Source organism: Homo sapiens, chromosome 4 (genome assembly GCF_000001405.40).
Source record: "Homo sapiens chromosome 4, GRCh38.p14 Primary Assembly".
Lineage (NCBI taxonomy): Eukaryota > Metazoa > Chordata > Mammalia > Primates > Hominidae > Homo > Homo sapiens.
The window spans coordinates 53,206,522-53,228,166 of record NC_000004.12 but is presented as its reverse complement, the minus strand read 5'-3'; the positions used below and the strand labels follow the sequence as shown (position 1 = coordinate 53,228,166).

The 21,645-nt window shown below is 38.2% G+C and overlaps 1 protein-coding gene across 8 annotated transcripts in view; it reads left to right on the top strand.

The window, feature by feature from the left end:
* SCFD2 (sec1 family domain containing 2) overlaps positions 1-21,645 on the top strand; it is a 493,080-nt gene that overhangs the window by 137,895 nt on the left and 333,540 nt on the right. Inside the window, exon 5 of one of the 8 annotated variants that reach the window (XM_011534378.4) lies at positions 21,105-21,244. The exons of the other annotated variants lie outside the window; for them this stretch is intronic. Within the exon in view, the coding sequence (XP_011532680.1) occupies positions 21,105-21,149 (45 nt within the window). The 3' untranslated portion in view covers positions 21,150-21,244. Of the gene's footprint in view, positions 1-21,104; positions 21,245-21,645 lie in introns of those variants that run through there. 8 annotated transcript variants of the gene reach the window in all.

The window sequence follows — 21,645 nt, the reverse complement described above, 5'->3', positions numbered from 1 at the left end:
AGTGACAAGAACTAGGCTTAAATGCTTCATATGCATTGTCTTATTCAAACCTTACAGTTCTAGGAACTATCCTTGTTCCTGTTTTACAGAGGAAGGAACAGAAGCTTAGAGAAGTTAAGTATTTACCTAGGTTACATAGTTTATAAGTGGTGGAGCCTGGATTCAATCCTGTCTCTGCCTGACTCCAAAGTCTGTGCTTTCAATAACTCTACCACACTACATTGAAGAGCTTATTTGAAAATATAAATTAAAAAATGTAATTGTCAAACTGCACTTCTAGTATGAGAAGTGCAGCTCTGCCTGTTTATAAGCAAATCATCTGTACATACATTTATCAGAAAATACAAATAAAGTCAGATTCATAATTTTTGATTTTTTGCAGAAATAATTCCTTATTTTTGTTTTATGAATAAATATATACCCTGGAATTTCGTTTGGAGCACTCCCCTCCAGTATTTGTAGTTCATCTTATTTGCCATTTTCCAGCCATATATTATGACTGATGGGTGAATCATATTGGAATAAAGGGTTTAGACTTCCCAGTGCTCAGCCCCAAAGGTGAAGGTATTCTGCTGTAGTGAGGCTTGATCCAAACAACAAATATAGTTTTTAAATTCATGCAAAGACTTTGTATTGTTGTTTGCATTTACTTCAAAATCTTAGCCGTTTTTATACCAAGATTCTCATTTTTGGAAGAACTTTAGCGTCATCTTTACAAGAATCCCCTCTATGGCACACCCTTCTATAGATGGCTTATATGGGTTTATTTAAGATCTAAATTTCTTTGTGAACATTGGCTACACAGGAGAATTTCACTGTTTGCTGTGACAGGAAAAATCATCAAGGAAATTGCCATTTTTTTCCTCTTTAAAATTTATTTTCACATCTCTCATATACAATGTCCTTTTCTCACATTATACTTAATTTTGTCACCTTTCTATGGCTGAAATTATAATTGGTGTCCTTTTATAGAAAATTGTAGAGTGGTGATAGGAAGGATTTTCATCACTGAAGAAGGTCAGGTGATGCTCAGATAAGAGGCCAGAGGAGACGCTTACAGAGGTCACACATACTGGCCATCTTTCCATCTGTCAGCCACATGCTCCATCTTCTTTCGCAGGAAGACAGCATGACAGGAAAGGATGAGAAGGTCCAGGACATCCTCAACAGCAAGGAGTTTGCTGAAATGCACCTCATTAGGGATACCTTTTTTAGATCGGGGTAAATAACCCACAGAAAAAATGTAATCCCCTGATAACTGTACAAGAGTGTTAAAAATAATTTAGTTAGTGATAGACAGGTTTTTGAGGGTTGGTTGGTTTCTGGTTAAGGAGGCAGCCACAGTGATCTTCTCTTTTACTGGGTCATTTCTTTACCTATATGTGTTACCTCATCCTTCAAGTCCAAGTAAGCTGCCTTTTTTTGGTGCTGCCCATCCTCTTGCACTGATCACCCTAATTTAAATAATTCAATTAATTTAAATATTGCCTAACTTATCAGTCTCCTTAGCTCTCTGAAGGCAGGGATCCCATGTTTTGTTTATTGTTATTTTTCCACCTGGCAGATAGTACGTGTTCATTAAAAATTTCCTCTCAATTTATTTTATGAACTTCATTGCTCATCAGAATGTTAGTGAAAAATTTTTTAAATAATTTGATTAAGTTATTCTTGAAAACAGCCAAAAAAGCCTAAAAAACAGTAATGTTGGGAAAAAGACTTGTGTCAGCCCATATGATAATACTTATCAATATTATATATCAATATATATCAATTATACATCAATAATGTTTATCAGTATTTTCTAGTAGTCTTTTTGGGTTTTGGTCCTTACATTTTAATTCAGCAATTAGTCCCCTCCCCCCCATAAAAATAATTACCAATAATGTTGTATTGCTGCAAGATAGTTTAGGAACAGATGCAAGAGTATTTTAGTGACTTTTTTATTTGTTAAAGGCAGTATCACAAACCAGTGGGAAAAGAAATAATATTTAATATGTGGCTAAGAACAATTGATGAGGGGAGTGATTATTGCTATATTAAAAGATAAATTAGAAATCCAAAACCAGCCTGGTTGCAGTGGCTCATATCTGTAATCCCAGCACTTCGGGAGGCCAAGGCAGGATGATCTCTTGAGGCTTGGAGGTTGAGACCAATCTGGGCAATACAGCGAGATCAAATTTCTATACTGTTAAATTTAAAAAAATTAAAAATACCCCAAATAACAAGTAAACTACCGGAAAATATTGGTAAACATTGAGTTTATTTTGGAATAGGGAAAAACCTAAAAGCCATGACATTAATCACAAAGGGGGAAAGCCACCAAATTTGATAATAGTATGGCTTAGTGGTTTAGAGAAAGGACCTTAAGATTAGAGGGTTCTAGAACTAAATGCTGCTGATACTTACTGAGTGATCTTGGTAGAAATTATCTACCTCATTAAGGCACAGTTTCCTCATTTGCAAACTAGAGGGGATAATCATAATAGCAAATTCATTAAGTCTTTAGAATACAAAAATTTATGTCAGGTAGTCGCCCTTTGGCAATAACATAGAAAACACAACAAATTTTAGCCATTATTATTAGCTCTAAAAATTTTATATAGGGTGTTATCAACTCACCTTGATAAAAGCAAACAAAATAGGAAAAGTATTTGCCATAAGACAAAGATTGATGTATATTACATGTGAAGAATTTGTTCATATGGATAAGGAAAACATCATTCAACAGAAAAAATGATTTTTAAAATGTGGCCAGCCATTTTACAGATGAGGAAATAATAGTGGCTAATAAGCATATGAAAAAAATGTTCAGTTTTCCTAGTAATAAAAAACCCCAAACAATGCTGAGATGTAATTTACCACTTAAAATTATCAAAGATTATCAAATAATAATTAGTGTTGGGTAGAGCTCAGTAACATGTTCATTCAGAAACATTACTATTGGAAGAGTGAATTTTGTCAAAGCACTTTGGCAATAAACCTTGAAAAGGTTTATATTTTTTATGGTAATTTCATTTCAGATTAAGATAATTAAGAATATAATCAAATATGGTGATATGATTTATGTTGTAATATTTTCCTTATGGTTTTTATTTATAATAATGACAAATTAGGAACAACCTAGATGTTTTACAGTGAGATTGATGGAATGCATGTTATAGTTGTTAAAAATTAAGTTATTGAAGAATATTTTTAATGAGGTGTGGAAATGTTATTCATGTAATGTTAATAGAAGAGAGTTTATTCTCATGAAAAACAAAACTACATATATACCATGAAGCTAACTCTGTTAAATAATAAAAAAAGGTGAAGAAAGTAGAGGGAGATTAGATATATAAAGTAGAAGAAATACTGGAAAATACATCACAATTATTATCATAGTTTTCTAAGTAGTAGGTTTTTCAGTTATCTATTGCTGCATAGCAAATTACCCCAAAACTTAGTGGCTTAAAGCCAGCATTTTATTAGAGCTCACAGTTTGTGGGGGAGGAATTCAGGCAGAGCTGAGCTGAGCAATTCTTTGGCTCTACATGGCATCTACTAAGGTTATTTGGGGGCTATTCAGCTTGTAGAGAGATGATCCAAGATGGCTTCAGTCATATATCTGGGCTTTGTAGGGACTAGGTAGAAGGATGGACTCAGCTGCAGTGCCTACGCATGGCCTCTCCATCATGGCAATCTCAGGGTATTCAGACTTCTTACACAGAAGTTAAGGTATCCAGAGAAATTGTTCTGCGGGAACTGGCAGAAAATGTAAGACTCTTTTTTTTTTTTTTTTGAGACGGAGTCTTGCTCTGTTGCCCAGGCTGGAGTGCAGTGGGGTGATCTCGGCTCACTGCAACCTCTGCCTCCCAGGTTCAAGCGATCCTCCTACCTTAGCCTCCTGAGTAGCTTGGATTACAGGCACATGCCACCACGCCTGGGTAATTTTTGTATTTTTAGTAGACATGGGGTTTTACCATGTTGGTTAGGCTGGTCTCGAGCTCCTGACCTCATGATCCACCCGCCTCGGCCTCCCAAAGTGTTGGGATTACAGGCGTGAATCACTGCGCCCAGCCAAATGTAAGACTTTTTATCACCTAGCCTTGAAAGTTCCAGAAAGTAATTGACTAGCTAGAATGAAGGAACTTAATTGACTAGCCCAGAATGAAGGGAAAAGAATTAGACTGCACCTCCCAAGGGGAGGAGAAGCAAAGAATTTATGACCATCTTTATCTTCTCTCAGGTGGATTGTGAGATTCTTATTTTCTTTGTGTTTCGTAGTATCTATAATGCAGAAGTATTATTTTTGTAATTTGTAAGAGCTTTTTATATATTAAGTTTATAACCTTCCATGAGATTTGCATAAAGTAGTTAACATTGTGTCTGGCATAAATAGAGCTCTCTATAAATGTCAACTGCCATCAGTATTGTCTTTAGTTCTTTTATGTTAGAAAAGAAACACATTGGTGGACTTATTTGCGGTGGCTCATTTTAAAAGGCATTAAAAAGTCATAATTGCATCTAGGCAAGCCAAACGAGATTTCCATGAGAAAATGTTCCGTGAGACTATGTTTTGAAGGATGAAAGGGAATTGCCGGTTAGGGAAGGACGGGAAAGACATGCAAGACAATGGGAACTGTATATGCAAAGACACAGAGTTCTGATAGCGCATAGCATGTTGCAGGATCTCACATGGCAGGGTGTGACTGTAAGGCATGTGTTTGTGGAAAAAGGGCTGACACCTGGAGGGGAAGAATTACATTCCAGAGATAACCAAGAAACAGAATATACAGGTCCTAGTGACTGATGAACTATAACAGTTCCTTCAGAGTTACAGCAAACAAAATTTAACTTTTCACTAGTTAAAGCAATCTTACTATCTGTTCCTGATTTAGTTTTCTTTCTTTAAACCTCAACATGAATTATATGCGAAAAGGACAGAATTCAGACTAAGTAATAAATTACATATGGGTAAATTTCCTTTCAAACTAAAAAAAGAGAAGAATTGGAGAAAATGACAGGCCAAGCCATATTTTTAGTTTAAAAATAAAATGATTTATATATTTTTTTCAGAAAGCCAATAGAACTGAACATTTGTCCATCATCTCAGAATGGGTGCTCCTGCCTGTTGAGCTTATTAGCTCCATTCTTACTGTCCCAGGGCTCTCGTGTTTGTGTGCCATATGGGTTCCACATCTGGTGACCAGTCCGTGCTCTTTTGGGGGAAAGAAAACAAAACTTCCTTGGAGGGACTACAGAAATACGTTTCTGTAGAATCTGCTACTGCCTATGCCTGCAAATATCTGGGTACCAAATTAAATGCATAAAGCTGAAGTTATATTACTTTTCAAAGATAACAGTAACCAGATAGGACACAATACAAATTAGGGCTTTAAACATTGTGGTACCAGTTCTTTCTTCTGGCATATTATTTGCAGTGATATCCCTTTGATGTTTTGACATATCTCTGAAATCATGATTAAATATGGTAACCAGAACTAGAATTGACTTACTCTGGGCAAGTCATTTGGAATCAATATTATAGTGAAAAAAAAAATGCTATTTGGAGTAGTTCTTCCAATTGCAATGAATTTAATTGGTGTTGAAGTCCCGTCTTGTTTTCCCTAGAACTGTCATTAAAATAGTTATCATGATAAACCAATAAAAATTTCAAATAAAAAGTAAGTTCAGGATATTATTAGCAAATATTTATCACTTAATGTTTTCTAAATTTATCATGCACAGATATCCACTGTCCCATGGATAAAAATGACAGTTAAGCTTTTGCAGTCATGTAAAAATAATTACTTCTATCAAAGCTTCAAGCTTCAGGAAGAATGTCAGAGCACATACATGTATAGTGGTTTTCTCCAGGTTAAATACTATGATGGTGACACACCAGGATTCCGTGTTTCAAAACCAAGATTTTTATTCTCTTCTTAAGTCATTGAGTCATTGCTGCTTCTCTCACTGTTTTAGAACATGATTAAAATTTGTACTGTTTTCTTGTGTTAGAAAAACAAAGGTGAGGGTGGGCGGGTGAAAAGGAAAGACATAATCCAGATGAGATGGTAATATAGGAACAGATTTTCACAGTGTTAGCCGATGTTGTGAAAAGCTGTTTTAGTCATAAGCCTAATGGAAAAACAATGTGGCCAGGAACCTGTCTGGTACTGAAATTTGACTCATTCAAAGTAATGTCAGGTACATTAGGAACCAAGGAACAGAGTTAACAGAATCAGTCCTATGTGTTGCTAATGTAGTATTTTGTTGTTGTGGTTCCTCTGTTGCCTCTTCTTGTAGCCTCCCATGGTGCTTGATGGTGTTCAAGGACTGGAAATGTCACCAGCTGTAGTAGAGCTGCTGGATCTCCCTATTTCTCATTTTCTAATCTCCATCTTCCAGCAATATTAACCTTGTTCTGCCTTCTTCCAGTTTGCAATTTGTCTCCTGTCAATGACATTTTAATTTTAACCTGATTTTTCTTTTCTACTACAGTAGCCTTAATTTGAAATTTTTATGGGTAATCAGTTAAAAAGTAAGCAAGCAATCATATTCTAAAAATTGTATCCAAAATCTGGACAATATCCATTAGATGGGAATTCATGTCACAAATCACTATTGGAGAGGAAGTTACAGATGGGGAGGCATCATTCCAAACTGTCGTAGTATTGTCAAGGATAAATAGTTATTAGCAAGATTTAAATTTATAAATTTGAACTCAGTGGGGTTTTAATTTAATATTACAGTTTTTATTACAAGGCAAGATCTTCGTGAAATTAAAAACACATGGACTAATTTAGCCTCAATAGACAAGGATGCTTGTGAATGGGAGTCAAAGGATTTAATTTTCAGTCTTTAGATCTTTTGCTCCTTGGTTTCCTTATCAGTCAAATGAGAAATTATTATTATTCCTTTATTTGAGGAGATTCTGTAATGATCAACATTATCTTACTTTCAAATCTCCAAGAAGAGTTGTTTGGCCTTCCTGAACCCTATTTTCCTCATTTGTGTGGGTGAGGTGGCTGTTGAGTGGTTCTGGGCATTAGTGATAATGTATATACTGCACTAGCACAGTGCCTGGCCAATTGTGGGTACTTAAAATATAGATTTGACCATTGTAGTTGCTCCTGATACTCCTGCTACTCTGCTGCTTATTACCTTCTTATCTGCCAGTATTTTGTTAATACCTATTTTTTTCTATGATTAAAGTAAACATCACGATGCAGGTGAGATTAATTTCTCCCACTTCCAGTGTAGCAAATTTTGTTTAGCTTTATTGGAAGGAAAGAGAAAACAGCATTTCAAATATCCCTGCATGTAATTTGAATTAGGGCTTCACATTTTTATTTCAGTAAAGTATATTTATTTTCTCAGAGGAATTCTTCTTCCCCAAACCATTACCAGCAGAATCAGTGATAACTGGATGGAGTCTTTGGGACTCTTGTGATATGTGTGAAGCCTTGCATGTGACTTCTGAATCTTCAAGGATATTGTTACAGATATTAAGATGTTATTATTAACTGCTTTATTGTATCTAATGCTATAAAACTCTTGTGTGCTGTGTGTCTATGTGTATGTGTACATTTGTATGGTCTTTGAGTAACTGAATACCTGACTGCATTTTATATGAGAATATTCTTTGCATTTATGATAAATTGTTAAATGACACATAGACACACAGAAATTACTTAGTTATTTCAACAAATAATTATTGGGTACCTATTATATGACTAATAGTCAATTGTTCCATGTGGTAGGAATAGAGCAGTTAATATTACAGAGTCCCTGCCTTCACACAACTTACATTCTAGTTAAGAAAACAGACAGTAAAGAAACCAACAAATGTATACAGCATGTCAGGATTAATAGGTATATATGATAATGAGCTTATAAACTGATCAGGTTTTCTATAGCATGTGTTCCTTTGGTTGGTGTCCTTGCTGTATTGGCTCTTCAATAATTTGAATATAGCTTTTGATCAGTGCTATGAAGAAAAATGAAGCTGGGTCATGGGCTAAAAAGCAGCAAGAATTGAGAAAGCTATCAGATACAGAATGGTGAGGGTTGGGCATTTCTGAAGAAGTGATATTTGAGTGGAGACTTGAATGAAGAGAGGGAGTGAACCATGAGGCTGACTGGGGAGAGATAGTTTTAGGTAGAGGTAGCAGGAAGGGCAAAAACACCTCCACTACCCAATGCTTACACCCCAGCAGATTGGAGGCCACTGCTGTGGTGTGAGTGTTTGGAAGTGGAGGGGATGACTGGGCAGATTCTTAGGCCTTGTAGACCTTGGCAGTCATGGTGGTGGTAGTAGTAACCATTATTATTATTGTCATTTATATTTTTTGATCTTAGTGTATCTTAAAATAATGTTAAGCATTAAAAGAACCATATTGCGGGGGCGGTTCCAAGAGGGCCGAATAGGAACAGCTCCAGTCTACAGCTCCCAGTGTGAGTGACACAGAAGACAGGTGATTTCTGCATTTCTAACTGAGGTACTAGGTTCATCTCACTGGGGCTTGTCCGACAGTGGGGGCAGGACAGTGGGTGCAGCCCACCGAGTGTGAGCTGAAGCAGGGCAAGGCATCACCTCACCCAGGAAGTGCAAGGGGTCAGGGAATTCCCTTTCCTAGACATGGAAAGCAGTGACGGACGGTACCTGGAAAATCGGTTCACTCCCACCGTAATACTGTGCTTTTCCAACGGTCTTAGCAAACGGCACACCAGGAAATTATATCCCACGCATGGCTCAGAGGGTCCCACACCCATGGAGCCTCGCTTATTGCTAGCACAGCAGTTGAGATCGAACTGCAAGGCGGCAGCGAGGCTGGGGGAGGGGCGCCCGCCATTGCTGACGCTTGAGTAGGTAAACAAAGTGGCCTCGAAACTGAAACTGGGTGGAGCCAACGGCAGCTCAAGGAGGCCTGCCTGCCTCTGTAGACTCCACCTCTTGGGGCAGGGCATAGCTGAACAAAAGGCAGCAGAAACCTCTGCAGACTTAATGTCCCTGTTTGACAGCTTTGAAGTGAGTAGTGGTTCTCCCAGCATGGAGTTTGAGATCTGAGAACAGACAGACTGCCTCCTCCAGTGGGTCCCTGACTCCCGAGTAGCCTAAAGGGGAGGCACCCTCTAGTAGGGGCAGACTGACACCTCACACGGCCGGGTACCCCTCTGAGCTGAAGCTTCCAGAGGAACGATCAGGCAACAACATTTGCTGTTCAGCAATATTCGCTGTTCTGCAGCCTCCGCTGCTGATACCCAGGCAAACAGGGTCTGGAGTGGACATCCAGCAAACTCAGACCTGCAGCTGTGGTTCTTGACTGTTAGAAGCAAAACTAACAAACAGAAAGGACATCCACACCAAAACCCCATCTGTATGTCACCATCATCAAAGAGCAAAGGTAGATAAAACCACAAAGATGGGGAAAAAGCAGAGCAGAAAAGCTGAAAAATCTAAAAATCAGAGCGCCTCTCCCCCTCCAAAGGAATGCAGCTCGTCGCCAGCAACGGAAGAAAGCTGGACGGAGAATGTCTTTGACGAGTTGAGAGAAGAAGGCTTCAGACGATCAAACTTCTCTGAGCTAAAGTAGGAAGTGCAAACCCATCGCAAAGAAGCTAAAAACCTTGAAAAAAGATTAGATGAATGCCTAACTAGAATAATCAATGCAGAGAAGTCCTTAAAGGACCTGATGGAGCTGAAAACCATGACATGAGAACCATGTGACGAATGCACAAGCTTCAGTAGCCAATTTGAACAACTGGAAGAAAGGGTATCAGTGACAGAAGATCAAATGAATGAAATGAAGCGAGAAGAGAAGTTTAGAGAAAAAAGAGTAAAAAGAAATGAACACAGCTTCCAAGAAATATGGGACATGTGAAAAGACCAAATCTACATCTGATTGGTGTACCTGAAAGTGACGAGGAGAATGGAACCAAGGTGGAAAACACTCTTCAGGATATTATCCAGGAGAACTTCCCCAATCTAGCAAGGCAGGCCAACATTCCAATTCCGGAAATACAGAGAATGACACAAAGATACTCCTTGAGAAGAGCAACTCCAAGACACATAATTGTCAGATTCACCAAAGTTGAAATGAAGGAAAAAATGTTCAGGGCAGCCAGAGAGAAAGGTCGGGTTACCCACAAAGGGAAGCCCAACAGAGTAACAGCAGATCTCTTGGCAGAAACGCTACAAGCCAGAAGAGAGTGGGGGCCAATATTCAACATTGTTAAAGAAAATGATTTTCAACCCAGAATTTCATATCCAGCCAAACTAAGCTTCATAAGTGAAGGAGAAATAAAATCCTTTACAGACAAGCAAATGCTGAGAGATTTTGTCACCACCAGGCCTGCCCTAAAAGAGCTCCTGAAGGAAGCACTAAACATGGAAAGGAACAACCGTTACCAGCCACTACAAAAACATGCCAAATTGTAAAGACCATTGATACCATGAAGAAACTGCATCAACTAAGGAGCAAAATAAGCAGCTAACATCATACTGACAGGATCAAATTCACACATAACGATATTAACCTTAAATGTAAATGGGCTAAATGCTCCGATTAAAAGACACAGACTGGCAAATTGGATAAAGAGTCAAGACCCATCAGTGTGCTGTATTCACAAGACCCATCTCACGTGCAGAGACACACATAGGCTCAAAATAAAGGGATGGAGGAAGATCTACCAAGCAAATGGAAAACAAAAAAAGGCAGGGGTTGCAATCCTAATCTCTGATAAAACAGACTTTAAGCCAACAAAGATCAAAAGAGACAAGGCCATTATATAATGGTAAAGGGATCAATTCAACAAGAAGAGCTAACTATCCTAAACATATGTGCACCCAATACACGGGCACCCAGTTTCATAAAGCAAGTCCTTAGAGACCTACAAAGAGACTTAGACTCCCACACAATAATAATGGGAGACTTTAACACCCCACTGTCAACATTAGACAGATCAACGAGACAGAAAGTTAATAAGGATATCCAGGAATTGAACTCAGCTCTGCACCAAGTGGACCTAATAGAAATCTACAGAACTCTCCACCCCAAATCAACAGAATATACATTCTTCTCAGCACCACATCGCACTTATTCCAAAATTGACCACATAGCTGGAAGTAAAGCACTCCTCAGCAAATGTAAAAGAACAGAAATTATAACAAACTGTCTCTCAGACCACAGTGCAATCAAACTAGAACTCAGGATTAAGAAACTCACTCAAAACCGCTCAGCTACATGGAAACTGAATAACCTGCTCCTGAATGACTACTGGGTACATAACGAAATGAAGGCAGAAATAAAGATGTTTTTGAAACCAATGAGAACAAAGACACAACATACCAGAATCTCTGGGACACATTCAAAGCAGTGTGTAGAGGGAAATTTATAGCACTAGATGCCCACAAGAGAAAGCAGGAAAGATCTAAAATTGACACCCTAACATCACAATTAGAAGAACTAGAGAAGCAAGAGCAAACACATTCAAAAGCTAGCAGAAGGCGAGAAATAACTAAGATCAGAGCAGAACTGAAGTAGATACCGACACAAAAAACCCTTCAAAAAATCAATGAATCCAGGAGCTGGTTTTTTGAAAAGATCAGCAAAATTGATAGACAGCTAGCAAGACTAATAAAGAAAAAAAGAGAGAAGAATCAAATAGATGCAATAAAAAATGATAAAGGGGATATCACCACCAATCCCACAGAAATGCAAACTACTATCAGAGAATACTATGAACACCTCTATGCAAATAAACTAGAAAATCTAGAAGAAATGGATAAATTCCTGGACACATACACCCTCCCAAGACTAAACCAGGAAGAAGTTGAATCTCTGAATAGACCAATAACAGGCTCTGAAATTGAGGCAATAATTAATAGCGTATGAACCAAAAAAAGTCCAGAGCCAGACGAATTCACAGCCGAATTCTACCAGAGATACAAGGAGGAGCTGGTACCATTCCTTCTGAAACAATTCCAATCAATAGAAAAAGGAGGAATCCTCCCTAACTCATTTTATGAGGCCAGCATCATCCTGACACCAAAGGCTGGCAGAGACACAACAAAAAAAGAGAATTTTAGATCAATATCCCTGATGAACATTGATGCAAAAATCCTCAATAACATACTGATGAACCGAATCCAGCAGCACATCAAGAAAGCTTATCCACCATGATCAAGTGGGCTTCATCCCTGGGATGCAAGGCTGGTTCAACGTAAGCAAATCAATAAACGTAATCCAGCATATAAACAGAACCAAAGACAAAAACCACATGATTATCTCAATAGATGCAGAAAAGGCCTTTGATAAAATTAGCAGCCCTTCATGCTAAAAACTCTCAATAAATTAAGTATTGATGGGACGTATCTCAAAATAATAAGAGCTATTTATGACAAACCCACAGCCAATATCATACTGAATGGGCAAAAACTGGAAGCATTCCCTTTGAAAACTGGCACAAGACAGGGATGCCCTCTCTCACCACTCCTGTTTTACATAGTTTTGGAAGTTCTGGCTAGGACAATCAGGCAGGAGAAGGAAATAAAGGGCATTCAGTTAGGAAAAGAGGAAGTCAAATTGTCCCTGTTTGCAGATGACATGAATGTATATCTAGAAAACCCCATCATCTCAGCCCAAAATCTCCTTCAGCTGATAAGCAACTTCAGCAAAGTCTCAGGATACAAAATCAATGTGCAAAAATCACAAGCATTCTTATACACCAATAACAGACAGCCAAATCATGAGTGAACTCCCATTCACAATTGCTTCAAAGAGAATAAAATACCTAGGAATCCAACTTACAAGGGACGTGAAGGACCTCTTCAAGGAGAACTACAAACCACTGCTCAATGAAATAAAAGAGGATACAAACAAATGGAAGAACATCCCATGCTCATGTCTAGGAAGAATCAATATCGTGAAAATGGCCATATTGCCCAAGGTAATTTATAGATTCAATGCCATCCCCATCAAGCTACCAATGACTTTCTTCACAGAATTGGAAAAAACTACTTTAAAGTTCATATGGAACCAAAAAAGAGCCTGCATTGCCAAGTCAATCCTAAGCCAAAAGAATAAAGCTTGAGGCATCAAGCTACCTGACTTCAAACTATACTACAAGGCTACAGTAACCAAAACAGCGTGGTACTGGTACCAAAACAGAGATATAGACCAATGGAACAGAACAGAGCCCTCAGAAATAACGCCGCATATCTACAACTATCTGATCTTTGACAAACCTGACAAAAACAAGCAATGCAGAAAGGATTCCCTATTTAATAAATGGTGCTGGGAAAACTGGCTAGCCATATGTAGAGAGCTGAAACTGGATCCCTTCCTTACATCTTATACAAAAATTAATTCAAGGTGGATTAAAGACTTACATGTTAGACCTAAAACCATAAAAACCCTAGAAGAAAACCTAGGCAATACCATTCAAGGCATAGGCATGGGCAAGGACTTCATGTCTAAAACACCGAAAGCAATGGCAACAAAAGCCAAAATTGACAAATGGGATCTAATTAAACTAAAGAGCTTCTGTGCAGCAAAAGAAACTACCATCATAGTCAACAGGCAACCTACAGAATGGGAGAAAATTTTTGCAACCTACTCATCTGACAAAGGACTAATATCCAGAATCTACAATGAACTCAAACAAATTTACAAGAAAAAAACAACCCCATCAAAAAGTGGGCCAAGGATATGAACAGACACTTCTCAAAAGAAGACATTTATGCAGACAAAAAACACATGAAAAAAATGCTCATCATCAGTGGCCATCAGAGAAATGCAAATCAAAATCACAATGAGATACCATCTCACACCAGTTAGAATGGCGATCATCAAAAAGTCAGGAAACAATAGGTGCTGGGAGGATGTGGAGAAATAGCAACACTTTTACACTGTTGGTGGGATTGTAAACTAGTTCAACCATTGTGGAAGTCAGTGTGGCGATTCCTCAGGGATCTGGAACTAGAAATACCATTTGACCTAGCCATCCCATTACTGGGTATATACCCAAAGGAGTATATATCATGCTGCTATAAAGACACATGCACACGTATGTTTACTGTGGCACTATTTACAATAGCAAAGACTTGAAATCAACCGAAATGTCCATGAATGATAGACTGGATTAAGAAAATGTGGCACATACACACCATGGGATACTATGCAGCCATAAAAAAGGATGAGTTCATGTCCTTTGTAGGGACAGGGATGAAGCTGGAAACCATCATTCTCAGCAAACTATCGCAAGGACAAAAAACCAAACACCACATGTTCTCACTCATAGGTGGGAATTGAACAATGAGAATACATGGACACAGGAAGCGGAACATCACACACCAGGGCCTGTCGTGGGGTGGTGGGAGGAGGGAGGGATAGAATGAGGAGATATAACTAATATAAATGACGAGTTAATGGATGCAGCACATCAACTTGGCACATGTATACATATGTAACTAACCTTCATGTTTTGCACATGTACCCTAGAACTTTATAAAAAAATAAATAAATGAAAGAACCGTATGGCATTATTAAATGAATGAGAAAATTTGAAGAACTCTTTGAAGCAGAATTCCACTAATACTTTTATATCCTGTATTTGCCTGCACATCTTAATTCCTGAATTTACTTTCAGCTTGAACTAGCATGAAGAGCTTTTACAAAAGAGGCTTTTTACAGAGCATGACTGAAAGCAGGTAGACTTTCGAGATCATAGTCACTCTGGTTTTAATTTCAGACCCCTTTTTGTATCAAAGGTCAGGTCCCTGATGAGAAATGAATCAAGTCAGACGCATTTTTTTCTACTCTATTACAAAGAAGGTTTTCGAGTTCTTGTTTTGGCACTATGCATCTCCAAGAGGAATTTCTTTTTTCTATACACCTGCAGCAATAAAACATAAAGGGATTGTGATTTTGATTTCTATCTTTACTCATCATCTCTTTTTGCTTATACTGGAGACAATTGTATTTAAAGTCTTATATGCAACTGGACTTTCTTTAGACATTAAACTTTGCAAAAAGGTAGTGCTTTTCACATTACACCTACTAAATAATTTAATCGTGATTATCATTGCTAGAAATTGTTTGTGTGTACCAGATGCGTTTACACACACTTCATTTATCATTATTACAGTAGTGTTTCCATATTTTAACATCTAGAACAGCCTTATTCGTACATACAGGCTGAATATTTTCCTTGGCCACCTGTCTACCTGCACCTAGTTTGCTGGCTTTTCTCTCATGTGTAGAATTTTTAAAAATCAACTGTATTTGTTAACAAGATAGAAGAAATAATGTGTGCTGGTTAAAAAAAAAAACCGTGTAATCATTGTGATGAGTTAAGGTTCACTTGTGAAGGAGAATTTGAATAGTTCATTTGGTTTCCTTTTTAAAACTACCATCACCTCAAGAGAAAAAATGATCCCATATAACAATTATAGAAAAACAACTACTCTAAAATTTTATTCATAATATGAACAGTTTTCCTTGTACCTTAATGAATATTAATCATTTGTTTATAGTTCTTTATCCCTTCCACGTCAACACACACAGACACCACATGCACACACACACACACACACACACACACACACACGTGCTCACTTTCTTCCTCTCTCTCTTACCATCTCCTTAATACTATATTGTGTGGGTTCTTTGTTCATGGGCAAATTATTTATTATTATTATTATTTATTTATTTTTTGCTTTCTTTTAATTTGGATACTGTTTCCAGCCTTTCCTGGACTATGTTATTGGTTTGGGAAGTGACATGGACAAACACCTGCTGACTAGGTAATTGATTTCATTGTGGTTATGTCACTTTGGGTGCTCTGAGAGTTACACTAAGCTAAATGTGCTTTCCACATTTGGTGTTGTTTTGACTTTTGGAAGTCCTGGTCCTTTATAAGCTATAATGTATGGTTAACTTTACCGACTTTGGGGTAGGAAAGGAGCGTTTGATTTTGAGGGGTGGAGAATGCTTTCCCAACAGTGGATTCTATTAAGTTCTGATTTATTTTTCCCCAGCAGAAGGAATAGAGGTGCCATGCCTGAGTGATTTAACATTCAGCTGGAGGAAATTTTGGTTGGGGGGTGTACTATCCATCCAATATTATAAGGTAACTGAAGAAGGGAAGAAGTGAAGGAGAAGTAGTAAAATGCTAGGCAGAAATTAGCCTTGTTAAGCCTAAAATTCAAACTCTTTAGCTGGTAGTTTTGGTTTTCCAGTGTATGGTCTAAGCCAGTGGTTCTCAAACTTTTTGGTCATAGGACCCCTTTACATTCTTGAATGTTATTGTGGGCTCCAAAGAGCTTTTGTTTAAATGGATTATATTTATTGGTATCAACCATCTTAGAAATAAAATGGAAAAATTTAAAACTACTGACTGTATGGAGGAAAACTCTCAAACCATGCTTTTCTTCTACTTTCACACTACAACAATCATCAACACAGAAGAAGACATTTGTGACCAAATGCGTGGGGATTTTTCCCCACACACAAAGCAGCGGACACCAGCTGAGCATCATCCAATTTGGTGCCAACACTATCTACCCAGAGATATAGCATCAGATCCCACAGGTTGAGGGCTCAGTCCCCAAGACTGACCCCCATCCCAAACACATCAGTCTCAAGTCTTGGCCTGCAGAACTTCTAACTGACCAGCTTCAAGTTGGGGTTCCCATGACTCCCCTTTGAATTTGATTAATTTGCTGAAGTGTCTCACAGAACTCAAGAAAACACTCACGTTTACCAATTTATTATAAAAGATACTACAAAGGATACAGATGAAAAGATGTGTAACGCAAGGTATGGGGGAAGGGGAATGGAGCTTCCATGCCCACCCTGGGTGTGCATCCTCCAGGAACCTCCAAGGGTTCAGCTATCTGGAACCTCTCTGAACACAGTTCTCTTGGATTTTTTTTTTTTTTTCACATGGAGTCTTGCTCTGTCATCAGGCTGGAGGGCAGTGGTGCAATCTCAGCTCATTGCAACCTCCGCCCCCCGGGTTCAAACGATTCCCCTGCCTCAGGCTTCAGAGTAGCTGGGACTACAGGTGCGTGCCACCATGCCTGGCTAATTTTTTGTATTTTAGTAGAGACAGGGTTTCACCATGTTGGTCAGGATGGTCTTGATCTCCTGACCTCATGATCTGCCTGACTCAGCCTCCCAAAGTGCTGGGATTACAGGAGTAAGCCACCATGCCTGGCCCGTCTTGGGTTTTTATGGAGGCTTCTTGAGGGCAGCATTCCTTCCCTCAGGGTATGGGGTGGACCATCTCTGGGAGGGTCTTAAGACCCACAACAGAAAGGCAGGGGAAGATTAGAGTGCTGCCTTGGGTAGGTGAAAGGAGGGCAGGAGGTCAGAAGCCTGCCCCTGAGGTCTAACACATTCCACATTATAATAAAAGACTGTAACAAAGGCTGTGGGAGTTACGAGCCAGGAACAATGGACAAAAATCAATATCTGTCATAATACCATGCTTATTAATTTATTAAAAAGAATAATGCACGTTATTAATAAAAATAGAAATAAATATATATGATAACATAAATAATATGTTTTTCAGAACAGAAATATTTAGTGAGATGAGTGGTATTGTTTTACATTCTGCAAATCCCTTTAATGTCTGGTTTAATAGAAGACAGCTGGATTCTCGTCTCTCCTTCTGCATTCAATCTGTTGTCGTATCACACATCACATAGCTTCTGGAAGACTTCACTCTATGCTCCTGAGAGAATGAGAGTGAAAAAGAAAAATAATTACTTAGTATTATTATGAAAATAATTTTGACCTCGTGGAACCCCTGGAAAGTTCCCTCAGGACTTTCCTGACCACAGTTTGAGAACTATTGGCCTACACAAATCTTTCCAGCCACACTCCTGTGTTAAGCCCTTCTGAGCCTCTTTGTATCAACACTTCAGCCTGCCCCTTTTCCCACCCCTACTCACCTATTCTCCTAGCTGCCCACAGTTCAGAGCCCAGAATCTTAAGCATTAGAGTCAAGTAGAGTCTATCCAGTACAGATATCTATTATGGGAGGGTTCTTTGGCTCAAGGTATCATGAAAATATCAAAAGGATTCATTGAGAATGAGTGAACCCACTTTCTGAAATTAAAACTATAGTTGAAGTCTTCTTATCCATGGTGATAAGGGCCAGAAGATGATTGGTTAATTGAAAAAGCACTTCAAAAGAGAGAATCATAGAAAGATTCATACATACATCAACTTTTTTTTAACTTACAATGTGTAAAATATCTATTTATTCACCAAAATTTTGGTGTAGTGCTAGGCCTTTTCTTTGAGAAAGGGTTTACTGATTGGAGTTCTCCATCCTCTTTTTTGCCTAAATCACACTCAAAATGCATCATCTACTATTTCCAATTTTGTATTTTTTTTTTTAATGGAGAAAGAAGACTACAAAGTTACTAGCAAAACAATCTAAGGACTGTAAGAACACTGGTATGTCACTTCTTTATACTATAGTTTCTTGAGGACAGAGACCATGTCATCATTTTTCTACTCTTAACACAGTGTCTAGCAATAGTTGGTATTCCCTGAGTGGCTTTTTAGTTGAATACACAGTGAGGGCATGTATCCGTGAAAGAATGAAGCAGAAGCTATACTGTATAATGAAATTATGTTCATTGTAAATAATTTCTGACCCACTATTAACACTATAGGAAGGAATACCCAAATGGACATTCTTATATTCCAAGAGGAACTGATCATTAGTGCTGAACTTCCACTTGGTCTTTGAAGAGAGTCATCACACTTTTCCAACCTCAGCATCCAGTTCCCTAAGGATACATTGAGCACAAATACTAACCAAAAGTCTGTTACTCAAAGGAGAAGCTTTCCTGGCTGCCGCCCCCTCATCTAGTGTATCATTGTATTTAGCTTTATCAAGGGCATGGTAGGATGCATTAAGCACTAAGGTTTTGGATTGTTGATATTATGTTAATATCTGTATAGACTTCGACCTTGGAGAGTGAGAGCAGGAAGTCAGCACAGGGTTGACCGTATATCCCTTACTATCATGTAACCTCCATAGGATGACCAACTCATTTCAGTTTGCCTGGAACTTTCCTGGTTTTAGCACTGAATGTCCCAAGTCCTGGTAACTCCTTCAAACTCAGGCAAACTGAGAGGGTTTGTCTTAATCCTCTACCCTAAGTCTGTGCACAGGAGCAGGGAATTCAAACTAGGGTTTGTTAGAAATGCAAATATTGGGTACATTCCTGTGGCCAAGAGTCCCTTAGTTGCCTAAAGGCAGGCAGGCAAACTTTCAAAGGGCCGAGCTTCTTGAGATTAGTCTCTTTCACTGGAATATTTTTAGTTTTGCTAAAAATCACAGTAACATTGCTCACTTAGTTTATCAATTTATCATTTAATGTGAGACGTACTTTTAACAAGATATTTAACTTATAAGATTTTTCTAGTTCCTTCTTTGCCTAATTCTGAAAATGTATATGCTTCCATTGCTTTGGAATTATGAGAGGTGTATATGGCTTTGACTGGGAGGTAAGAGCACTGCCTTAGCCTTTGCTGCCATGGTGCAGCATAGAACACACACGACTAGGAGTCAGGAGATTGGGTATGCACACCAGCTTTGCCACAAACCCAGCTATGGGGAACTTGGATAGGACCTAGCTTTGCTGAACTATGAGGTCTTTTTCTACAAAATAGGAGAAACTATAATAACATTGTCACAGATTGTTCTGAGTATTAAGAGATAACATGCAGGAAAGTGTTTGTGACATGTACAGGATTATTTAGTAAATATGTATAGATCATTGTTGATGTACCTGCATTACTCAATTGTTACTTCGCTCAATAAACTTGCTTATTGTTTTCAATGTCAATGTATTAGTCTGTTCTTGCACTGCTATAAAGAAGTACCTGGCGAGGTGTGGTGGCTCGTGTCTGGCCCAGGACTTTGGGAGGCCAAAGTGGATTGCATGAGCTCGTGAATTTGAGACCAGACTGGGAAATATGGCAAACGCTGTCTCTCTATATATATAAAAAGAAAAAAAAAGAAAAGAAAAAAATTGCTGGGCATGTTGGTGCACACCTGTAGTCCCAGCTACTCAGGAGGCTGAGGTGGGAGGATGGCTTGAGCCTGGGAGGTGAAAGTTGCAGTGAGCTGAAATCTTGCTACTGTACTCCAGCCTAGTGATAGAGCTAGACTTTGTATGGGGGGAAAAAAAAAAAGAAAAGAAAAGAAAGAAAAAAGAAATACCTGAGACTGAGTAATCTTTAAAGAAAAGAGGTTTAATTGGCTGGTGGTTCCACTGGCTGTACAGGAAGCATGGCTGGGGAGGCCTCAAGAAACTTACAATCATGGTGGAAGGCAGAGGGGAAGCAGACATGTTTTCACATGGCCCGAGAAAGAAGAAGAGAGAAGGAGGAGGTGCTACGAACTTTTAAACAACCAAATCTCCTGACAACTCACTCACAGTACCAAAGGGGAAATCTGCCCCCATGATTCAATCACCTCCCACCAGGCCCCACCTCCAACACTGGGGATTACATTTTGACATGAGATTTGGGTCTGTATATATATATATAAATATTATATATATATTATATATATATAAATATTATATATATTATATATAAATATTATATATATAATATATAAATATTATATATATAATATATATAATATATATATATGAAATATATATATAATATATTTCAAACTACTCAGCCATGTTTTGTTGGTTTATGATGTTTTCAAGTTTGACCTTTTCCAGACACTAAGGATTGTTGGTTTTGTCAGTATAGCAGTTTGAAAAATGTGAGCACTATTTAAAAAAAAATTCTCCCCTCTTGCCATCATCCTTTTTTTTTTTTTTTAGCAAAAATGTATTACATTCCTAGGTTTTGTCAGTGCTGTGGTTTGAATGTGTCCCCCAAAAGTTCATAGGTTGGAAACTTAATCCGTAATGCATCATTGTTGGGAGGTGGGGCTTAATAAGAGGTAATTGGGTCATAAGGGCAAAACCGTCACTAATGGATTAATGTATTATCATGGGAGCAGGTTAGTTATCTAGACAGTAGGTTGTTATAAAGTGAGTCTGGCCCTGGTACCTCTCTTTTGCACAGGCTCTCATGCCCTCTCGCCATGCCATACCTGCCACCATGTTATGATGCAGCAAGGAGGCCCTCACCAGATGCTGGAACCATGCTCTTGGACTTCTCAGGCTCCAGAATTGTGAGCTAAATAAACTTCATGTCTTTATAAATTACTTAGTCTTTGTATTCTCTTATAGCAACAGAAAATGGACTAAGACAACCAGGCACTGTTAATTTAATTTTTAGCAGGCAAACTCATGCATATAGCTTTAAAAATCAAATATGATCCTCACTTTGCACAGTAGTGTAGGATGGTAAAAATGACTGTTCAGAATTGAGGCCATGCAAAGTGATTTAATAACCAATGAAAAATAATAATTGTTCCATGACCATTAAATTATTTTAGTCAGAATATTACAAACTCATTACTGTCAGTGATACATGTATAGGGTAATTAGTATTTATTTAGTATATTGTAATTTAAAGCAGTGGCAACATTGAGAATTACAGTGGAGTTTTTACGATTAAAAAAACTTGAGTAGTTTGAAGATTTCTCACCTTCTATAACTTA